The sequence below is a fragment of the Homo sapiens genome, chromosome 18, assembly GCF_000001405.40.
Source record: "Homo sapiens chromosome 18, GRCh38.p14 Primary Assembly".
Taxonomy (NCBI): domain Eukaryota; kingdom Metazoa; phylum Chordata; class Mammalia; order Primates; family Hominidae; genus Homo; species Homo sapiens.
The window spans coordinates 24,139,011-24,161,665 of record NC_000018.10 but is presented as its reverse complement, the minus strand read 5'-3'; the positions used below and the strand labels follow the sequence as shown (position 1 = coordinate 24,161,665).

Below are 22,655 nucleotides of genomic sequence, written 5' to 3'. Positions count from 1 at the left end.
GCCTTTTGTGTTTGGTTGGTTGGTTGTAGTCCTCCTAAATTACAAAAAAAAGCAATACAAAATTGTATGCTTGCATGAAGTTTATTGATACATTACACTGGTGGCAGACTCCTCCCTGAAATGTTGACCCAGACAGCGTCATTTCTGGATCTGTTAGGAATAATGCAAACATTGAATTGTTTAAAGTTAAACATGAAACCGAACATGTGAAATGAGCAGAAGATTAGAAATGCAAGGTCTACCCTCCTGCTCTGTTACTAAGCTTAACTAGTTACCTATGGGCTTTTGCACTGAAATATCCCAGCAATTTCATGCTGAAAACAGCCATTTTGGCAATTCCACCAGAAGTCCATAAAGAGGTTGAAGAAGTACATGTAGCCCTAAGATAAGATAATTTTGTCTTTCCTTAAATATAGTAACTGGTCCTTGAGCCTGCTTATGAATGAAATCTAGCTTTTGTCGATCTCTCAGATGCTCAACTTAAAATTCCCACTAATTATTTTAAGTAACTAATTGGTGTATAACACTTCTGTACTTTCAACTCATCTCCCTACTTCCTCTGTTGACCTCCCCCTTACTGCTAATCTGTTTTCCACATAGCAGCCTGAGTGATCTAATAAAAACAGCAATCAGTCATTCTTCTGCTTAAAACACTTGTGCTGGCTTCCCATTGAACTTTTCAATCAAAATCTTTCTTCATTTTATATAATCTCCCCATTTCCCCCCAGCCAGTCTCACTGTGGCCTACTTCGCTGTCTCTGGAACCCCCGTGTTCTTTTCTGCCCTAGGACACAGCCTGGGCGCACCCTGCAAAGCTGGCTTCTTCTCATACTCAGGTGTCAGTTTACATCTGAGCCTGAACACCCTACCTAATAGTGACAATTAAAGGTAGGCCTGTGTCAGCACCCTGTTTTCTCCATAATACTTTACATGTTGTAATACACTTTTTTGTCTGTCTCCCCAACTAAGATGTAGGTCCCATGTTTTTGCTCACGCTACTGTCCACACATAGGGGAGGAGGGCTAGCATAAGGTTTGGCATTAAGTATGAATGAAAAATTAAAAAATGATTTGTGAGTGATCAAACTGTCTCATCCACAGTTAATCTCAGCTGTTGTTTAGCTCTTTACTCTGCCTCTCACCTCTCCATCTACTGCCTCTTACCACGTGGATTAAGTGTTCTGTTACATAATCAAGACTTTCTCTCTTACCTTGCTCTTCAGTTGTTCCCAGCTCCTCCCTACTCCCTAAACATGCCAACTAAATTGTCCTGTTTTAAAAATCCATCCCCTTTTCGCATCTACCACTGTGTTTGTTAGACAATGGACTAGGTATTCAAAGGTGACTGAGTTCATTAGTTTCATGTATCGGGCATCAAATCCTTGGCATGAGTCATTGTGGTACAGTGCACCTGCTGTGCATTTATTAGTAACTGGTGTTTAGGAAGTTGGAGACAGTAACCCCAGGAAGTTAGAGTATACCCCAACTTATTATCTCAAATTGTTTTTAAATATCTAAATCTCCAGGTCAAGAAATCAAAATGCTTAAAACGCGCGTGTGTTAAGGCCTAAATATTATGGTAGGAAAGTGTACCTACCAGTTTTCAGTTTCTGCTTTGCGACGTTTGTGAGCAGTAGTCACGGTTACCTCCCCAGCAATACCGTAACTTCCAAAGGGAGCACATTTGTCACCAGATCCTGAACTTTTTTTAGCTACATCTTCTACTGGGAAAGCAACAGAAAGGAAAACAGGGCTTTTTGGCCTGGGGACATCTTGTCCACTTGGAGGATTAGCATTCTGGGGACTTAGGGTATGTTTCTGGTATTTCTCATCTGCAGGAACAGCAATGGGCACTTGCATTGCAACATATCTCAAGACATCTGACTGTGAAACGACAGCATGTCCAGGAAGAGGTTTCCATCCCTGTGCTTCCTGAACATTTGAGCCTACTAAGATAAAAGGTGGGGCACTGGTCTTCTTGGTGTCGCCCATCACATAAGTTGGAAAAGTGACTTTTGGTGGATGCTGCTGAAACTGTGGATCCTTAGGATTAGGTAAATAGAGGGTTGCTTGGGGAAAAGGCCCAGGTGCAGGTGGCGGTGATGGGTGACCTTGTTGATTCTTATCAGTTAGACAATAAAGGGTCCACATGTTAGAACATGGTGGTGGTTGTCCTCGTTCACTTGTTGCCATTGCTATAAAAAAAAATTTTGCAGGAATTAAAGTTTTGGTCTCTGTATCAGGCACTATGCATAGTAATGTCTTTGTAAGTCTCTTTTACATATAAAACAGCTGTAGTGATATGTACCGTAGAGCATGCTATAGAGAGGGCTGCATAATCGTGTTTGACAGGTGAAAGAGATTCTCTACAGTTGAAAAAGGAGAACAGTGTTGTGGTGGCAAGTGGCAGGGACACTACAGTTGTGGCTGAAGAAGCAATCTTATTCTAAGTTGCAGTTTCCAGCTACTTCAACTTTAGACGTGGCTTCTATAGGCTCCTCGCAGACGAAACTGGTCAACACAACCTTTAGCTTTACCCAAAAGTCAATTGAAGAGTGTGTTAAGCCATTAAAGGAAGCGTTAGTGCATCTGCATAGTGTTTATTTCCTAAAGAAGTTAGCACTAGGTGTCATCTTCACATAATCAAAATCTCTCTGGCCCTTCAGAGGCACCATTATCTCCCATTAATTTGTTACCACACATAAAACGTCACATAATCTAGGATTGAGAACCCCAGAGAGCACCCCTTTTAGGCAAGACTTGAAATCATAGATCCTAGGTGGCAGTAAAAGGCTGGCTGGTCCCACAGGGATTCTTTGGGTTGAGAAAAAGAGGTTTAGGAGTGCCATCTATAATGCAAGTGTGACCTGCCTCTTGAAGACAGTACTGTCTTGGGAGAACCAAGTCCCAGAAGATGGGCCCTCGGACAAAAGGTTCCCAATAGAGGAGTTTCACTTTGCCCAAATGTGCCGAGTTTACCTTTTGAACGCTGGGCCATCTATCCCCGGTGCAGCCTTTTTTCTTCCCCTGAAAAGAAAATAACACTACGGGCCGGGCGCAGTGGCTCACGCCTGTAATCCCAGCACTTTGGGAGGCCGAGGAGGGTGGATCACCTGAGGTCGGGAGTTCGAGACCAGCCTGACCAACATGGAGAAACTCCATCTCTACTAAAAATACAAAATTAGCCGGGCATGGTGGCGCATGCCTGTAATCCCAGCTACTCGGAAGGCTGAGGCAGGAGAATCACTTGAACCCAGGAGGCGGAGGTTGTGGTGAGCCAAGATCACGCCACTGCACTCCAGCCTGGGCAACAAGAGCAAAACTCCGTCTCAAAAAAAAAAAAAAAGAAATAATACTACGCACATGATTAAGTGGCCATTTTTCCAACAGCTTCAGATACTTTCAAGTAATCTTTTTTTTTAAGCTTGTTGAAAAATATGTACAAGCCAGGTCTTCAGCTGTCTCACAGGGAGAGAGGTTTTGATAATCTGAATTTGTGGTTAGTATCCTCTTAGTGTTGTGGACAACTCTGTTTTCCTTTAGAAATAGTTAAGCATTTGAAAACAGTGACTTGGTCTGGATATGCTGCTTAAGCCACAAATATAGTGCCAGTCCCACACGCTCCACTCCCAGCGCTGCCCTCTGCCTTTCCAGCTGTGCAGAATCCCTGTCACACTGCCAGACAAAATGTGATCTTTTCTAAACACCTGCTTTGCTAACACTTTTTGAATCACTCTGGCTCAGTTAAGAGTCAGGATTGAAAGAGTTTTTGCAAAAGGAATGGGGGGTTGGCTCATGCACGTCCCTTCTGTCCCTAAAAAGAGAAGGGCCCCTGCAATTATCCATAAGGCAGGAAGGTGAGCAGACCAAATGCCATAATTAGATGGAGATGAAGGTCACATCATGTCTATGTCATAGGAAAACATGGTGATAGTTCAACAGCCAAGAAAGCAGCTTGATTTTGGCACTTGCCAGGAAGAGGGAGCTGATCAAAGGAAGCCAATTACGTGAACTGCATCTATTGCTGTTCAAGTGCCGCAAGTGCCGGGCCGTCCTTTCTGCTGCTGATACCTCCCGGCTCCCCTGACCTTTCCCCTCTCCATCTAGCTATGAAACTGCTCCTTCAGCTGCAGGAAGCTCCCAGGCAGAACACAAACGCATGGCCCAGCACCCCAAACCTGGTTACAGAGCTCTCCTGACTCAGTGTGAAAGCAGTCAAACACACCACCATTTTTTCACTTTTTAAAATGCCATAGCCTATGTAAATGCATTGCTGTAGTTTAATTTTTAGATTCACAAGAGGAAAATTTCAAACCAACACCCTCTAATTACAGTTTTGCAATCAGCATATTCAGATCACATGAATATATTTTGTACCTGACAACAGGCTATACTGTTGTTGACTACATAATATGTCCAAAAGAATAACGCAAAAGTGCTAGATGACCAAACTCTGAGGCCAGGCTTTGGGGACATCACTTTAAAATCACTCCTCTCATAGTAGTAGAATCTCAAATACAACAAAGTCTTTAAATGGCTTTGGCATTTAAAAAAAGTCTATTGAAAATAAAGACTGACCAATCTGCAGGGAGCCGACAGAGATGGCTACCTGAAATACAGATGTCACCTGAAATGCAATTTGTAATGGAAATACCTGATTTTCTTACCTGGCTTCATCAAACCTTATTCAGCTGTTGATTCCCCTTCTGGTTCAATTTCTGGTGCAGTAAGGCCTTCTGGAGCAGGAGGGAAGGGGCCACTAGATGACTTTACAGATGTACCTGAGTGCACTGCTTCTGCAGCTTCCCCAGAGAGCACAGGTTTGCCTTCCATCTCCTGGGGTACAGAGTTTTCCCCAGACTCCTCCTGCCCAGTATTGTCAGAGACTATTGAAGTGATCTCCACTTCAAGGTGCAGAGATTTTTCAGAGCCTATTTTGATAGCACCTTCTGCATCCAGGAGTTGTGCAGGTACCTCAGGCTGACCTTTCAAAGATGTGTCAGAGAGCAGAGCTGTTGCTTCTGCCTCCATATATACTGAGGAATATTTTGCATTCTCCTCCAACTGTGCAAGTTTTACAGACTCTACAGATTTTTTAGACATGCCAGAGGTGGTCTTTTCTACTACAGATTTGGGACTAACTCGTGGTGACTGCTCATTTTCTTTTGACTGCTCATTTTCTTTAAGACAAGCAACTTGATCAGTAAAAGGGATAACTATTTGTTCTGGCAGTTGCTCGATATAAACAACTCCTTCAGTCACAGGCACATCGTTATAGACAGATGATATATGAACAGTTGACATAACCTCAATATCAGCCTGCAAAGTGACCTCAGGAGCTTGATCATAAGCAGGAGGTTCTTGTTCATCCTGCAAGGGGACTGAGGAAGCCGTTGATGGTTCAGCCTCATTTTCTTTAGGTTGAGAACCCAAATCTACATGGACAGATGTTTGGTTCACAACCTGCACTTCTAGCACCTTTCCAGAACACACAAGAGGAGCAGCCACCATGACATCTTCAGCAGCCTCTGAGCTTGGCACCTCCTTGATAACAACAGGCATACTGGTTGCCACATCCACCATTAACACATCAGATTGATCAGAATGAATAGATGAAACTTTACCTAACATCTGAGCAGCAAGCTGAGCTGGGTCAGCTGGGACGTAGGCAAACTCTGGTGAGACAGCTGTTGGAGGTGGTGATGAGGGTGGGGTAGTAGTCTTAGGGGTGGCTGGTTTGGAAGAAAGACCACCAACTGCTTCCGTTTGCTCAGTGCCTGGCACAGCATAAACTGATGGAAACTGGGTGGTTTTGTCACTATATTCTGTTCTGGTTACATTGTCCTCGTCTGTGTCTGTAGATTTTTCCATCTGGGTAGGTACTTTAGATTCTACAGATGTTTTTCCTGGTTCTTTTAAACATTCTAATTTCTTCTGTGGTGTCGTTCCTTCTGACCATTTCTCTACTGAAAAACAACAACCAGATGGGTTAATTAACATCTAAAAAGATTTTTAGAGAAGAAAAGATTTTTAAAGAAGGCAATAATAGGGATGTAGTGGCTCATGCCTGTAATCCCAGGACTTTGGAAGGCTGAGGCAGGAGGATCGCTTGAGCCCAGGAGTTCAAGACCAGCCTGGGCAACAGTGAGACCCCATCTCTACCCACCACCACCAAAAAAAAAAGCAATAATGGGTTAAGCATTCAGATGTCAGTATAGACACAAATTAAAAGAGTTTTCAGCTTTGTTTTCCAACATCTGTAGTGTGGGTAATAAAACATTCCTGTCCTTATCCTGTCCAAGACCCTCAATTCATTTCCTTAGAAATAAGTGACACTTAATAGCGCAGTAGCAAGACTAATAATCAGATATCATCCTAAGGTGGTCAGCATCAGGGAAAGATCATAACTTTGTGCCTAGAACTAAGGAAGCTGAAAACCTCCATGGAAAAAGCTCCTGATCAAACTTCCACACAAAACTGGGGAAAAAGGTTGGGTGGGGGGGAGACCAACTTGGGCAATAAATTATTTCATCTTTGTTGGTATAGTAATTTAGTAATGACATAGATGCTGCATATTAATAAAGGCATTCCTCCATTTAAGAAAATTGGTATATAAAGTTTAACTTAATGAATTGATAAGCTAGAGGACTATAGGATTTTTTTTACTTTAAGAAAGTCACATATTCTAACCTAAAAATGGTAGCACCTGCTAATAATGTGTGATCATGCAGCCAAAGTCAGACTGACCCAGCCAAGAGGAAAAGAAAGATATCTCTGGATCTGAAAGTGTAGCCTTAAGTGAATCCTCAGGCATGAGGAAAATTCTCATGGGTTGGAAGGTCACAACAGCTGATGACATATACAAAATCCTAGAGTTGGAAAACTGCTGTAATATTTTATGTGCATCACCCACACACCTAACTACCTTAGTCATTAACTCATCAAAAGTTTTCACATCTGTTTGCTGAGAATTTTCCTTTGGGAAGCATTTCTCTAATGAAATTTATAAGAAAAGCAGAATTTGCTTCATAAGAATATATTTGGCTCAAGTCAAAACTTTGGAGACATGTTTTCAATAGGTTCAGCTGCATTCTGAAAAATAGTGTCCTGCAGTGTCTCCTTTGACATTGGCTGCTGATGTTTTATAAATTCAATTAAGATTTCTAATTCGGGACATGGACATTATACCAAATGCTCACATGCAGAGAAAGATTCAAAAAGAGAGAAAGCCACATCTATCATTACCTCCCTCTGCTTAGAACAATAACCTCATTTTCCTAACCATTCACCTCTTCAGGACTTTCCCATCCAGTTTTTAGGAAAGCCCTTTTATCCACCAGCACATCTGACTGAGTGCTTGTGCTACATACTACATGTAAGAATGGTCTAGGCACTGTTGAGGATAGAAAGACTATTAAGACGAGACCTCAATATAGCTTACATTTAATAGGAGAAATAAGATAGACAAATATAGGTTAAAAAGTACAAATACCTAATTGGAACTAATAAAGATCTTGGAGTTCTGAGGAGGGGAAAAATTTTTTTTTTTTTTTTTTTTTTTTTTGAGATGGAGTCTTGCTCTGTTGCCCAGGCTAGAGTGCAGTGGTGCCATCTTGGCTCACTGCAACCTCTACCTCCCGGGTTCAAACAATGCTCCTGCCTCAGCCTCCTGAGTAGCTGGGACTATGGGCACCTGCCACCATGCCCGGCTAATTTTTGTATTTTTAGTAGAGACAGGGTTTCACCATGTTGGCCAAGCTAGTCTTGAACTCCTGATCTTGTGATCCACCTGCCTCGGCCTTCCAAAGTGCTGGGATTACAGGGGTTGAGCCACCGCACCCAGCCGAAAAATCTTATTTAAGCCTGACCTTGGGAGAGTTACTCTTATGCTTAGGATATAGAAAGCTACAAAATACATTGTTTCCATCATAACAACAGGAAAAAGCCAGATAGATAAGCCACAAAAACATAACTTTTCTTGAGTCCAGCAGAGAGCTGAAGTCAAAAGGTAACCAAGTAATCAAGTAATCTGATTTCAAAAGAGGAACCAGCCCCTCCAGGGAGAAAAGGGACATAAGAACAGTCTCAGCTGTAGCAGGGCCCAGAAAGAATAGGCTGCCATCACACCAGCTGGTAAGAATGTACCAGCTATAATCTTAACGTACTGGTAAAGGCCAAAGGTGCACTAGATGTCAGTCTGGAATTACCTGGGACTCCAGACCCAAGGAGAATTCGCACTCATTAGCAAACACTTTTCCACGTGCCTCACATGAAAGATGGAGGCAGGGCTGAAGGCCAGAGAGAGCGCTCCTATTATCAAGACAGAGACAGGAGACACTGGCTCAAGACTGACCACAGAGAGAAGGCAGAGTTTGGCTACCACATGACGGAGGGCAGGAACACCGAGAAAGCCCCGTGTCCAAAGCCCAGGTGCACAAGTCCAGCCTAGGCCTAAGGCAGGCCCAGAACAACAGGGAACCTCCTGTACTGCTAACCAGCCCAAGGCTAAGAAACAAGAGACAGCAGGCTGCCACCAGGAGAGGGGGGCAAGAATTTGGAGAGAGATGCCCTTTGTGGGGCATGCTGGCAGAGAAGGCTGAAAGCTGAGGGGGAAGCACAGATGCTGAGAAATACCCTCTGGCACCCCAGCCCCACCCTCAGGCAAAAGGTCTTGGCAGCCTTCTAGAAGGTTTTGAGGCCTGTAGTACAGTGAAGGTAATGAAAGCAACAATAAAACCCAAGTCCAACTCCTAACCAGACTGACCTCCCCATACCCACACCAATTCAAGGCCTCCCTATTTTCCCCCATTAGGTCTTAAATTCTCCAACCACTGATTTACTTACCATGAGCGTTTATCAAGAATGCAGCCAATCTAGGGATTGGATTACTGCAATCCCTAGACTGCCTGCACGGGACCTGACAGGTTGCTTGTGGTATGACTTAGGCAACTCTGGAAAGGACCACTTGCTCTTTTAATTAAAAGTGTCTCCCTCACAGGTTCATGGTACCTGAAATTACGTCTAGAAGATTAAAATGTAATTAATTTTTTAAATGTTAAAAAAGCTCAATATTTTTGTCTCTGGAAGTCCCCTGCTAAACAAAAACATCCCTTATAACCACCATTCTGGAAAGGTAAAGCATTTATAATTATGAATCCTTAACAATTTACCAGGGAATGTATGATATTGTTTTCTTCCCTGCAACTTTCTCATAGTAAAAAAGTTAATGAGAAAACCTAGGTTCTAGTCCTGGTTCTGAGATTTAATAGCTGCATGACCAAGTCAACTGTTCCAAGCTTCAGGCCTCCTCACTTGCAAAATGGGGATTATAACTCTGACTTCATGGAGTTTCTGTGGACACTAAGTGAAATAATGCATCTGAAAGCACTGAATAAACTCTAAATCACATATAAATGGGGAAGGAGTGAATCAGTACCCATTTAAAAAGTGATACAGAAAAGTTTTGAAAATGTGATATCAAATTAAAAATATAAATCTCAAATATCTTTAATTCAGCTTTGATTAAAATTAAATTGGCTATTTCCTAAACTGGGTGGTAAAATACAGGATGTTTTTTCTTTATATGTGTGTGTTATATACTTATGGACTTTTTCATAATTAAAAACTGAGACCAGATGCCTTAAACTTTTATAGTGTTTTTGCAAATGCAAACACTAGGTCAGGCACGATGGCTCATGCGTATAATCCCAGCACTTTGGGAGGCTGAGGCAGGCAGATCACTTGAGGCCAGGAGTTCGAGACCAGCCCAGCCAACATAGTGAAATTCTGTCTCTACTAAAAATACAAAAATAAGCCAGACACAGTGGCACATGCCTGTAATCCCAGGTACTCAGGAAGCTGAGGCAGGAGAATTGCTTGAGCCCGGGAGGTAGAGGTTGCAGTGAGCTGAGATTGTGCCACTGCACTCCAGCTTGGGCAACAAAGCTAGACTCTGTCTTTAAAAAAAAAAAAAAAAAAAGCCAACACTAGATCAACCATTTGGCTTTGTTTGGAATACATGAAAGAATGCTGGCAAATATATACTTACTAGTTACTATACACATATAATGTAAATCTATATTGAGTTCATGTCATTATCTGTTTATTAAGAAGGGTAAAAAGCTTTTCTCTAATGTTTTAAGGTTAGCTTTAAATACTTACAACAGTCGCTGACTTGTAACCTTGAGATTATGTCGGTTGTATAAGACAGAATTTCTTCAAGTTGCAAACTAGGTTTGCTAAAGGTTGATCTTTCAACCTTATGAAGATTAACCCACTATGACTTTGGTGATCTGGTTCTACTTAAGCTGACAAAACTATACACACTGAGAATTAGGAACATAACTAAAGGCATTCCTTCTTGTAAAAAAGTTCCTTTTTAAGTATAATAAAATGACTCAAATTGGCTAACTTTAAAATTCATTGCAGAATCCTGATTTTCCATGAAACCAGTAAGATAAAGAGATAAATTCCAAGCATATGGTATTTTTTTAAATAGGCACAACTCATGGAGATTCAGGGTACTGAAGTACATAACTGCCCAAGAAGCATAAGGAAAAGGACATATTCTGGCATGGAATGGGAAATCTGAAAGGTATCAAAGACCACAAGTGTATAAGCAGCAGGGCCTAACAAGAGATACGAGAGGCTGTATAAGAATTGGAGGTGGGCCATCCTGGCTAACACGGTGAAACCCTGTCTCTACTAAAAATACAAAAAATTAGCCGGGCGTGGTGGCGGGCGCCTGTAGTCCCAGCTATTCGGGAGGCTGAGGCAGGAGAATGGCGTGAACCCGGGAGGCGGAGCTTGCAGTGAGCTGAGATCTCACTACTGCACTCCAGCCTGGGGCCAGAGTGAGACTCCGTCTCAAAAAAAAAAAAAAACAAAAAACAAAAAAACAAAAAAACTGGAGGTGGGAGGTGGGAAGCTCAAAGAGAGTGCTTAAAGTCAGGAATATGTATGGTACGTAATCTTTTAAGAATTTAAAACAAAAGATTCCAACTAGTCTGTATTGAACTGATTGGAATGAGAATACCAGAGACTATAAAGTAGGTGGTTTAGTTTCTCCCCTCTTCCTCCTTGCCCTTCCATCCATTCTTTCTTCATTCAACAAACATTAGTTGCACCATCTATCAAAGAGGAATAAGACTTCCTAAAGATCTCATTCTGATTAAGGATACAGGCAGATGATTGATTATATGACAATGTAGTCAGCACAGTGACTGAAATATGTATGGGGTACAGTGGCTTTTAGGTAATTTTGGTTAAGCTTTAGAAATAAGGAAAACGTGTGAAAGTGGCTAGTAATTTGGACTGTAGGAGGTGGAAAGCAAAAGAGGGCATGGCCAGTTTGAGGGAGAACAGCCATTCAGCCTATCCTAGGTAATCTCTCCCACGCCATGCCCCTTTGCCTTGCTTCTCCTCTTGGTTCTCCAGCACTGCCATCAAACTTCTCTGGGCCACAGTGAGCAACACCAAATGCAGTTTGGCATCTCTTTGGCTTTGTCCTTCCCTCTTCTCTTCCGGGTCTATTTCTGTCTCCCTCACCCCATTGAGAAGTGACAGCGTGCTGCAGTCCTCAGAGCCCTTGCTCGCTCTTGGCGCCTCCTCTGCCTGGGCTCCCACTTTGGCGGCACTTGAGCCCTTCAGCCCACCGCTGCACTGTGGGAGCCCCTTTCTGGGCTGGCCAAGGCCAGAGCCGGCTCCCTCAGCTTGCAGGCAGGTGTGGAGGGAGAGGCGCCAGCGGGAACCGGGGCTGCGCGCCGCGCTTGCGGGCCAGCTGGAGTTCCGAGTGGGCATGGGCTTGGCGGGCCCCGCATTCCGAGCAGCGGGCCGGCCCTGCCAGCCCCGGGCAATGAGGGGCTTAGCACCCAGGCCAGTGGCTGCATAGGGTGTACTGGGTCCCCCAGCAGTGCCAGCCCACCGGCGCTGTGCTTGATTTCTCGCCGGGCCTTAGCTGCCTTCCTGCGGGGCAGGGCTCGGGACCTGCAGCCCGCCATGCCTGAGCCTCCCACCCACTCCGTGGACTCCTGTGCGGCCCGAGCCTCCCCGATGAGCACCGCCCCCTGCTCCACAGCACCCAGTCCCATCGACCACCCAAGGGCTGAGGAGTGCAGGCGCACGGCACCAGGACTGGCAGGCAGCTCCACCTGCAGTCCCCAGTGCAGGATCCACTGGGTGAAGCCAGCTGGACTCCTGAGTCTGGTGGGGACGTGGAGAACCTTTATGTCTAGCCCAGGGATTGTAAGTACACCAATCGGCACTCTCTATCTAGCTCAAGGTTTGTAAACACCAATCAGCACCCTGTGTCTAGCTCAGGGTCTGTGAATGCACCAATCAACACTCTGTATCTAGATACTCTGGTGGGGCCGTAGAGAACCTTTATGTCTAGCTCAGGGATTGTAAATACACCAATCGGCACTCTGTATCTAGCTCAAGGTTTGTAAACGCACCAATCAGCACCCTGTGTCTAGCTCAGGGTTTGTGAATGCACCAATCGACACTCTGTATCTAGCTACTCTGGTGGGGCCTTGGAGAACCTTTGTGTCCACACTCTGTATCTATCTAATCTGGTGGGGACATGGAGAACCTTTATGTCTAGCTCAGGGATTGTAAACGCACCAATCAGCACCCTGTCAAAACAGACTACTCCGCTCTACCAATCAGCAGGATGTGGGTGGGGCCAGATAAGACAATAAAAGCAGGCTGTTCGAGCCAGCAGTGGCAACCCGCTCAAGTCCCCTTCCACACTGTGGAAGCTTTGTTTTTCCTCTTTGCAATAAATTTTGCCACTGCTCACTCTTTGGGTCCACACTGCTTTTATGAGCTGTAACACTCACCTCGAAGGTCTGCAGCTTCACTCCTGAAGCCAGCAAGACCACGAGCCCACCGGGAGGAACAAACAACTCCAGACGTGCTGCCTTAAGAGCTGTAACACTCACCATGAAGGTCTGCAGCTTCACTCCTGAGCCAGCGAGACCACGAACCCACCAGAAGGAAGAAACTCCGAACACATCCGAACGTCAGAAGGAGCAAACTCCAGACGTGCCACCTTAGGAGCTGTAACTCACCGTGAGGGTCCGCGGCTTCATTCTTAAAGTCAGTGAGACCAAGAACCCACCAATTCCAGACACACCATCACTCCCAACACATCCTCCCTCCCCACATTTTTACCAAACCTCATCTCTCCCAACTTCACTTAAGGGCAAAGAATTAAAGCAGGGTGGGTGGAATAGCAGACATTCCCTCCCTTATTCTTCGCTAAGATAATCTTAGCTAGATTAGTGGCAGCAATGTACCCAGCCCCAGGTGATAAACCACTAATGGCACACTGGTTCTCAAGGGGTAGTAGTATCCCCCTTCCACTGAGAGTATTCGTAGATGTAGAGGGGACATTTTTATTTATTTCAATACCTGGGAGGCATTAGTATTTTAGGAGGCAGGATCAGGGATGCTAGATGTCCTGCAATGCATGGGACAATTCTGATCTCCCTTACCATAAATTGTATCAGCCTCCTTTGGCCTGTGGGACAGAAGCGGAAATCTGCTGGAAAACTTGCAAAAGTGTTCCTTTCTTAATCAAAGGAACAAATGTCACCACTGCCACCACTTTCTCCTCCTTCCTGATGTAAACACAGGCATAACACCTGGAGCAGTAGCATGAGGGGACATGTAAAACATCCTAAGAATGACACAGCAGAGTGCCTAGATATGTGATACTTATTATTAAATTATATTAGGAGCAGAATGAACACCTTTTCAGATATGTTGTTTTCTTAAAGTTACTCTTAATTGATTTGCTGTTACTTGCAGCTGAAAGCTTTCCTAACTGATATGAGGCATAAATTAGAAGTCGTAAAGAAACATGACAGAGGGGGATTGTGTTAAATGCTGCTCTTTAGATACCATATCTGTTTTTTATTCTATGACATCCATAATACCCATTTTCTCTCTGGGTACTTGTTGAATTCATTATCTTAAGATTTACAGCTACTAGATAATGTATCTGTACTTTTTTAAACCTTCTGCCCATAAACATCTGGGCTGTGTCCCATATACCCTCTCCTCTATAGAATAAAGCTGATTAAAAAGAAGTGGATTATTTTCGATTTCCTACATCATAGTCATGTCATCTGTGAATAGTTTTATTTCTTAATATGCCTTTCCTTTTTTAAAAAAATTTGTTTGCCTTATGGCACTGATTAGAACCTACAGTACAAAGCTAAATAGAAATCGTAACATTGGAGATCTTTGTCCTGGTCCCAATCTTGAGGGGAAGGCATTCAATATTCACCATTGGGTACAATGGGTCAATTGGATCATCTGTAAGTTTTTGTGTGTGTACCCATTCCTAGATTTAGGAAGTTCCCTTGTATTCCTCACTTGCCTATAGGCTTTTTTTTTTTTTTTTTTTTGAGACATGGTTTTGCACTGTCACCTAGGCTGAAGTGCAGTGGTGTGATCACAGCTTCAGCCTCCTGAATATCCACGACTACAGGTGTGTGCCACCATGCCCAGCTAATTTTTAAAAAATGTTCTGTAGAGACAAGGTCTCACTGTGTTGCTGAGGCTGGTCTCAAACTCGTGGCCTCAAGTGATCCTCCCACCTCAGCCTCCCAAAGCACTTGGATTGCAGGCATGAACCACCATGCCCCTGCTTATAAACTTCTTTAAAAGCATTTCTTGTAGAGTAGGCAATGCATTCTTCTCAGTTTTTGTCTGCCTGAGAATGTCTTTATTTTGCATTCGTTTTTTAAAGGATATATTCCCTGGGTATATATTAATTCTAGGCTGGCATTCTAGGTCACTTTATGTCATTCCATTGTCTTTTGGCTTCTATGGTTTCTATTAAGAAATCACCTATTTGTCTTATTATTGTTCCCCTGAAAAGTAAAGTGCCCTTTTACCCCTCCGCCTGCTCTCAAGATTTTGTCTTTTTCAGCAGTTTAGCTGTGATGTACCTGTGTGTCATTTTCTTTGTATTTATCCTGCCATGGGTTCATTAGACTTCTTGAACCTGTAAACTTGTCTTTCAGAGTGGGAAAATTCTCAGCCATTTCAAATACTACTACTTTTCCACTCTTTTCCTGTGACTGCAATGACATAGACCTTTTTTTTTTTTAGACAGTCTTGCTCTGTCACCTAGGCTTTAGTGCAGTGGTGCAATCTTGGGTCACTGAAACCTCTGCCTCCCAGGTTCAAGCGGTTCTCGTGCCTCAGCCTCCTGAGTAGCTGAGACTACAGGTGGACACAGACCTTTTGACAATGTTCCATATACATCTCTTACATTGTTTTCTATTTTTCTCTTTGCCTTAATTTGGTTGTTGTCTGTTGGCTCGTTTTTTAGTTTCCTAATTCTGTCTTCTAATAAAGCCATATAATTTTATAGTTTGCAGTTATGGAATAAATGTTTCTTATTTTGTAGTTTCTAACTCTGTTGAAGTTCTGCATCTTTTCATCTATTTTCCATCTTTTCAAAATATCAATCATGGTTATTTTCTATCCACCTCATGTAGTAATTCCAGTATCAGGATATTCTATGGGTCTGTTTCTAGTGAGTGTGTTGTTTTAGCCTTTATTAGTCACTTCTTCCTGCTTCTTTGAATGTCTAGTAGTTTTTAACTGTATGCTGGAAACTGTAAATGACACGTTGTAAAGGCTCTGATTGTTAATTTTCTTCTAAATGGTACTGATTTTGTTCTAATGGCAAATCAATTTGATCCTCTTGAGATTTGATTCTAAATTCTGTTGAAGTGGGCATACTTCAGCTTTGTTCTTACTCCTAGCACATTCAGAGTGTATGACCTTTCTTCCTAGTGTATGATAGTGCACTACGTATACCTCAAAGTACACTTTATTCATAGTTTATGACCTTTCTGAGGTCTCAACTGAATTGCCACGGTTTCACAAAAATCTCTTATTTTTGGCTGGGCCCAACCTGCAAAGCCTCTCCCAACACTAAACGGTTCTGATCTCTCGACTTAGCTTTCAGTCTCCCAATAGCTCTTTTCTGCTAAACCTCCTCAAGCTTTACTCCACACATGAGGAGCTTAGGAGTTGGACAAAAACCCAAGGGAAATTTTTGTGCAAACTTTTGGAGGTCCTTCTCTGAAAATGCCTCCTTTCTGGTACTGTCACTCACATCCCAGCCACACTGAAGACTCAAATTCTGCTCCTCTGTCACCTCTCCCTAGATTTCACTCACTGCTTGGGCTATATTTCCCTGCACAAGAATTTGAAAGTGTCCTCAGGAAGAAAGCCTCTGTGAATATGGGCTGAATTTCTAGAAGTCCTTTCTCCCAAGAATCTAGGTGCTGGACTTCGTTTTATATAATTTATACAGCTTTTATGTCTGTTTATGATAGGAGGATAAGTCCAATACTGGCTTCTCTATCATAGCTGAAATGAAAAATCTCTCCCTCTCTGCTGAATTTCACCTAGCACAGCATCTGGAAATTGTCAGGAATTTAAATATTTGTTAAATGAAATTATGGATTGGACTTCAAGGATATGTAGGATTTAAAAGGTAGAAAAAGGAGTTGAAAGGAACTCCTGGAGGGAGAAGGAACATAAGCCCAAATCAAATGATTTGAAATTTCACATTTCAGGAGATGACAGATTGTCTTAAATATATGGCACATGAGGTCTATGAAATGAGATGATTGCAATGATTACAAAGGTAGGACAGACTGAAATCATAGAAAGCTTTGGATGCCATGCTGTTGTAAAGGGGTCAAAATTTACACACTGTGACTTAGATATGCCAGAAAAGTATTACTTTCTCTAACTGATCTCATCTTGCATTAAAATGCTTGTTTCCCAATAGCAGTTCTTGATCTTGGTTTAAAAATCTGTCCCTTCTAGTTTAAAAGTCTTTTGGTTAATTAGTGAGTCTTTTGGGCTATTGCTCCTTTATTAAAGATTCTCCTCCTTCTAAAGAGGGGTAAGCTGAGTCTGGGGTAAGCTCTGTCTCTGATCCACATGTCCTTTTATGCTGCTCTCCATTACCTCTGGTAGAGGCATAACTGGTCTCTGGGTGTTTTTGTTTTCTTTTGTTTGTTTGTTTAGAGATGGGGGTCTCACTATTTTGCCTAGGCTGGTCTTGGACTCCGGGGCTCAAGTGATCCTCCTCCCGCCTCAGCCTCCAAAAGGCTGGAATTACAGGCATGAGCCATCACGCCCTGCCCTCTAGGTGTTGGTCTCTGACATCGCTGCATTCATTGCTTAAAATGTTTCCATTTTGTGGAAAGTGTTACCTGTTTATCTCACTCAAGGATTGGCAGATCTCCTTCCTTTTAGTACTCTGTAGCATCTAAGGCCTAGTGGCCAATTTTTATTTTATTCTCTGCTTGGATGTATATACTATAGCTCTCTGCTCATGTGAGCTTTTCCCATCCTGATTCCTTGCTCATCATCACTCTCACTGGGATAATCCAAAAATATCAAGACTCACTAATAACCATACACAGCAGTTGGGCACAGTGGCTCATAGGTATAATCCCAGCACTTTGGGAGGTTGAGGCAGGCAGATCACCTGAGGTCAGGAGTTCGAGACCAGCCTAGCCAAGACGGCAAAACCCCATCTCTACTAAACATACAAAAGTTAGCCAGGCATGCTGGTGGGCGCCTGGAGTCCCAACTACTCGGGAGGCTGAGGCAGGAGAATCGTTTGAACCCGGGAGGCAGAGGTTGCAGTGAGCCAAGATCACGCCACTGCACTCCAGCCTGGGCAACAGAGTGAGACTCCATTGCAAAGGAAAAAAAAAAAACCTTCCAACAAAGTATTTATACAACTTTCCTCAGTAATCTCATAATTTGAGTCTTTATAACTATGAAATCCAATTCTCCTCATGCCGGTAATCCCAACACTGTGGGAGGCTGTGGCAGGAAGATCACTTGCATCCAGGAGTTCAAGTCTAGCCTGGGCAACGAGGCAAGACCCCATCACTATCAAAAATTTATAAAAAATTAGTTGGACATGGTGACTTACAACTGCAGTCCAAGCTACTTGGGAGGCTAAGACAGGAGGATCCCTTGAGCCCAGGCTGCAGTGAGCTATGACGGCGCCGCTGCACTCCAGCCTGGGTGACAGAGCATGTCTCTAAAAATATATATATATATATTTTAAAAAGGAACAATGTGATTAAACATAAAATAATTTGTGGGCACCATTCTTAAGTTTGAATATATGCTAGTCATGATGCAATAATTAATAAACATCATTATTAAAACTATTACTACTTGTGGTACTTACCTTTAATCTGATGAAATTGTTTAACCAGATCTTTTATATCCATAGTAGTATTCCCTGAAGGAATCAATACAGGAAATCAAATACAGATACATGAAATTCCTAACTTAAAATGTTTTCTTTTTCAAAGCAGCAAATATATAAAGGAATAACAAACCTCTATACATAGTAAGTTCTTGAAAATAAGCTGCTGCAAACTGGTTGATGTTTGATGGGTTGGTTTTGAGAACAGCTCTGCTAATTCCCTCGAGCAGAGTCTTGAGGCCATAGGGTACGACAAGTCTGGGCTTTGAAGAAATCATTTTGGCAGGATGTCTGTAACTCAACTAGAATGAAGAAAAAGTCTTAGAAGTAATTAGTTTTACTAAAATAGGTTTTTTTTTTTTTTTTTTTTGAGACTCTGTCACCCAGGCTGGAGTGCAGTGGCGTGATCTCAGCTCACTGCAACCTCCGCCTCCCAGGTTCAAGCGATTCTCCAGCCTCAGCGTCCTGAGTAGCTGGGACTACAGGCACATGGCACCACACCCCGCTAATTTTTTGTATTTTTTAGTAGAGCCAGGGTTTCACCGTGTTAGCCAGGATGGTCTCGATCTCCTGACCTCATGATCTGCCCGCCTCGGCCTCCCAAAGTGACTAAAATAGTCCTTATGAGTTAACTATAGTTTCCAAGAATAAACTATCTCCTATTAAAATTATCAGCTTTAGTTCTAATATGTAGGTATTCATTTTAGTAAAATGGGCTAATTCTTGATGGTAGTTTAAAAAAAAAAAACACACAACCCTACTAACAATAGCCTACTATGTGCAGATGAGCAATCTAGTACCATGATAGAAATCCATAGGAAAAGCCCTGCCAAGACCCTGAGGACATTAAAAACAAAGAACAAAAAACAAGACCTGCCTCTGTAAAATTCAGTGAATATTTTGTGCAGTTAACATTTCATGTATCTGTTTCTAAACAAGTCCTTCCAAACCACACAGGCACTGGCCCTTCTGTACATATATTCATCAAACAGTTACAAGATAAGTTTTTTTCTATAAGAAAATGTTTTTCCTTATTTTTCTAAATATATTCTCAGACATGCTGCTTTTTTTTTTGAGATGGAGTCTCGCTCTGCCACCCAGGCTGGAGTGCAGTGGCGTGATCTCAGCTAACTGCAACCTCCCCTTCCTGGGTTCAAGCAATTCTCTGCCTCAGCCTCCCGAGTAGCTGGGATTACAGGTACTGGCCACCACGCCCGGCTAATTTTTGTATTTTTAGTAGAGACAGGGTTTCACCATCTTGGCCAGGCTGGTCTTGAACTCCTGACCTTGTGATCCACCCACAGGCTCCCAAAGTGTTGGGATTACAGGCATGAGCCACCGTGCCCGACCATTGCTCATGTTTAAGTGTGCATTTTTTAGCTTTAAATTTTGGGGTTTTTTCAGCCTGCTTTGTACCTGCAGGAATAACTTTGTTTTTAACATTAATCAGTGTGAGTATAATTTATTTGTGGTATTATTATACCACCCACTGTCATTTGTACCTTTCGTTTCTCATATCTCCCTTACCCTCTTCCCAAATTTTCCCTTATGTTTCCCCTTCTGCCTTTCTGCCTTTTAAGTGGTATCAGAGATACTGCACAGACCAACCTGTAATTCTCAGAGTTGCAGAGGCTGCCACCTGAAACTGTGTCAGGGTGTATGTATTCTGACTCCTAAAAAATCACCTAAGGCTTCTAAAGAACAAAATTAAATATTTAAGAAAATCCCTAGGAAAACTAAGATAGGAAAAACAAGGTGAAGCTACAGGTAAAGTTAGCACTCCAATGCATGCCATAGCTCCTTCACTTTGATAAAGATGGGCATCAAATCGGCCCCTAAGCTACCAAGCAGCCATCACAAAATAGGAGATAGGTGGTTAAATGATTCAGGTTTCTTGAGGTGAAAAACACATCAGTTGTATGGGAGAACCACAGCTATTCTGGATACTGAAACCCAGGAGAAATTTCTCCCCCAAGTCCTTATAAAGCAAATAGTGTGATATAATGAACCATGTCCTCAACAACATCCCTACAGTAAATAATGAGTTTCACGGGGTTAAGTGGCATAGTTCAGTTACAACAATTATAGAAGGGCACAGCTTCTATTATAAAGTAACGAATATCTCATAGCAAAATGTTCAATACTTAAAAACACATCTCATCTTCCCAAAGGTCAGGACAAAATGAATCTGTACTGGCCAAAGCAAATCCTTTCAGTATATAATTAAGTATAATTGAATCCCTTAATGAAAACTTCCTTTTACGATATCATTCAACAGATTTACTGAATTAAACCATCTTTAAAAAACCAGAAGTGATCCAGCAATCCCACTGCTGGGTATATACCCAAATGGAAATCAGTATACAGAAGAGATATCTGCACTCCCATGTTTGTTCCAGCACTGTTGACAATAGCTAAGATTTGGAAGCAACCTAAGCGTCTATCAACAGATGAATGGATAAAGAAAATGTGGTACATACATACAATGGAGTACTATTCAGCCATTAAAAAAGAATGAGATCCTGTCATTTGCAACAAAGTGGATGGAACTGGAGATTATTATGTTAAATGAAGTAAGTGAGGCACAGAAAGGAAAACATTGCATGGTCTCTTATTTGTGAGAGCTAAAAATTGAAACAATTGAACCCACGGACATAGAGAAGGATGGTTACCAGAAGCTGGGAAAGGTAATGGGGCCTGGGTGGGGGAGGGGGAAAGTGGGGCTGGTTAATGGGTATAAAAAATGAATAAAACCTACTACTTGAAAGCACAACAGGGTGTCTATAGTCAATAATTGTACATTTTAAAATAACAGAAAGAGTATAACTGGATTGTTTGTAACACAAAGGATAAATGTTTGAGGGGATAGATGCCCCATTCCCAATGTGATTAACATTGTATGTCTGAATCAAAACATCTCATGTGCCCCATAAATATATACACCTACTGTGTACTCACAAAAAAAGAATTTTTTAAAAAATCAGAAGTGGGGATTCCGCAGTCCCACATGCTAAATGCTAAGGGGCATAGGCAGCATGACATGTTTGATACATACATACTATTTGATACATATATATATTTGATACATACTCATATATATCATATGTCTAATTTTCTTTAAGTACCCAAAGTGAGTAGATAGACCGTTTTGAAAGTGGCTCCCAGAGGCCGGGCGCGGTGGCTCACGCCTGTAATCCCAGCACTTTGGGAGGCCGAGTCGGGCGGATCACGAGGCGAGGTCAGGAGATGGAGACCATCCTGGCTAACACGGTGAAACCCCGTCTCTACTAAAACAAAAAATCAGCCGGGCGTGGTGGCGGGTGCCTGTAGTCCCAGCTACTCGGGAGGCTGAGGCAGGAGAATGGCGTGAATCCGGGAGGCGGAGCTGACAGCCGAGATCGCGCCACTGCACTCCAGCCTGGGTGACACAGCTAGAGTCCGTCTCAAAAAAAAAAAAAAAGAATAAAAAAGAAAGTGGCTCCCAGAAACCATGATGGCGCCAACAACCTTTCAGGAGGCAGTTAGCAGTTGGTGCTACCAAAGGTGGGGACAGCGGCCATGCACTCCATGATCCCCCGTCCCACTAGTTCTCACCCCGACTTTGGGAACGTGTGGGGCCAGGGACGCTAAACGTCCTACAGTTCAGTTCCCCACAAAGAACTGTCCTAAGCAAGCTGAGAAAAGTCAACGGGTAAAATTGTCACAAACACTATTAGGGTTATTTAAAAGCGACAGCTTAATAATTCTTCCCAGATCTCTCCTATCACCAATACTGGTCCACCACTGGCGGAATTTAAATCCTGCCCCGCCCAACTGTAAACGTCCATGCGCCCACTACCACAAGGGTAACGCCTTAAGCGAGAAATACGATGCCTTTCAGGATGCCAGCGGGGACTTCGGAGCCATAGGTAACCGCACTCCCCGACCTCTCCCTAAAGAACCTCCGGGATGTGGGCCCCCGCTGTGTCAGTGCTCGTTTTGCGCTAGGTCTGTTTGGGAGAGACGGGAGTGAAATGTAGGAGGCTGGGCGTGCTCACATCGCCTGGACTTGTCCAAGAGAGGCGGGCGACGGACCCACCGAGGCCTCAGATTCGGCAGCTGGCCGTCTGGTCGCCGCACTCCCCGGTGTGGGCCGGGGCCGCCCCACAGGCCCCCCACCCCCGACTCTGAGGACCCTCCGCCTGCCCCGACGACCTCTCCCACTGCGAGAGACTCCCTGAGACATAATGGTCTCCGAGGCCGCAGGGTGCGCCTTTTCTCCAGATTCTCCCCACCTGCTTTCCGGCCGCGCTCTTAAGAGCTTCCTCGTTGCCCCCTTGCCGGCGGCTCCTGAGGAGACTTGGCGCTTGCGAGCGTTTTTATAGCCCCGCAGGCATCGGGGC

The 22,655-nt window shown here is 43.3% G+C and overlaps 1 protein-coding gene across 10 annotated transcripts; it reads right to left on the bottom strand.

Annotated features, from left to right (window-relative positions):
• On the bottom strand, positions 66 to 22,604 carry CABYR (calcium binding tyrosine phosphorylation regulated). 10 transcript variants are annotated; one of them, NM_012189.4, is made up of 6 exons: positions 22,548 to 22,604; positions 18,407 to 18,575; positions 18,253 to 18,306; positions 4,667 to 5,965; positions 1,597 to 2,194; positions 66 to 150 (listed from the first exon to the last, which is right to left on the bottom strand). In NM_012189.4, exons 2-4 carry the CDS (start codon positions 18,549 to 18,551, stop codon positions 4,683 to 4,685), a joined length of 1,482 nt encoding a protein of 493 aa, NP_036321.2. In that variant the 5' UTR covers positions 18,552 to 18,575; positions 22,548 to 22,604; the 3' UTR covers positions 66 to 150; positions 1,597 to 2,194; positions 4,667 to 4,682. The 10 variants fall into 10 exon arrangements, with proteins under 10 accessions (NP_036321.2, NP_722453.1, NP_722454.1 ...); NM_153769.3 differs by having other exon boundaries at positions 5,624 to 5,965; NM_153770.3 differs by having other exon boundaries at positions 1,597 to 1,720; positions 5,624 to 5,965.
• Positions 22,605 to 22,655: the final 51 nt, after the last annotated feature.

Bases quoted from the DNA above. Each gene is read 5' to 3' on its own strand.
- CABYR (NM_012189.4), bottom strand. From the start codon at position 18,551: ATGATTTCTTCAAAGCCCAGACTTGTCGTACCCTATGGCCTCAAGACT. The intron at 18,307-18,406 runs GTTTGTTATTCC...TGATTCCTTCAG, and splicing joins AGAACTTACTATGTATAGAG to GGAATACTACTATGGATATA. The intron at 5,966-18,252 runs GTAAGTACCACA...GTTGTTTTTCAG, and splicing joins ACAATTTCATCAGATTAAAG to TAGAGAAATGGTCAGAAGGA.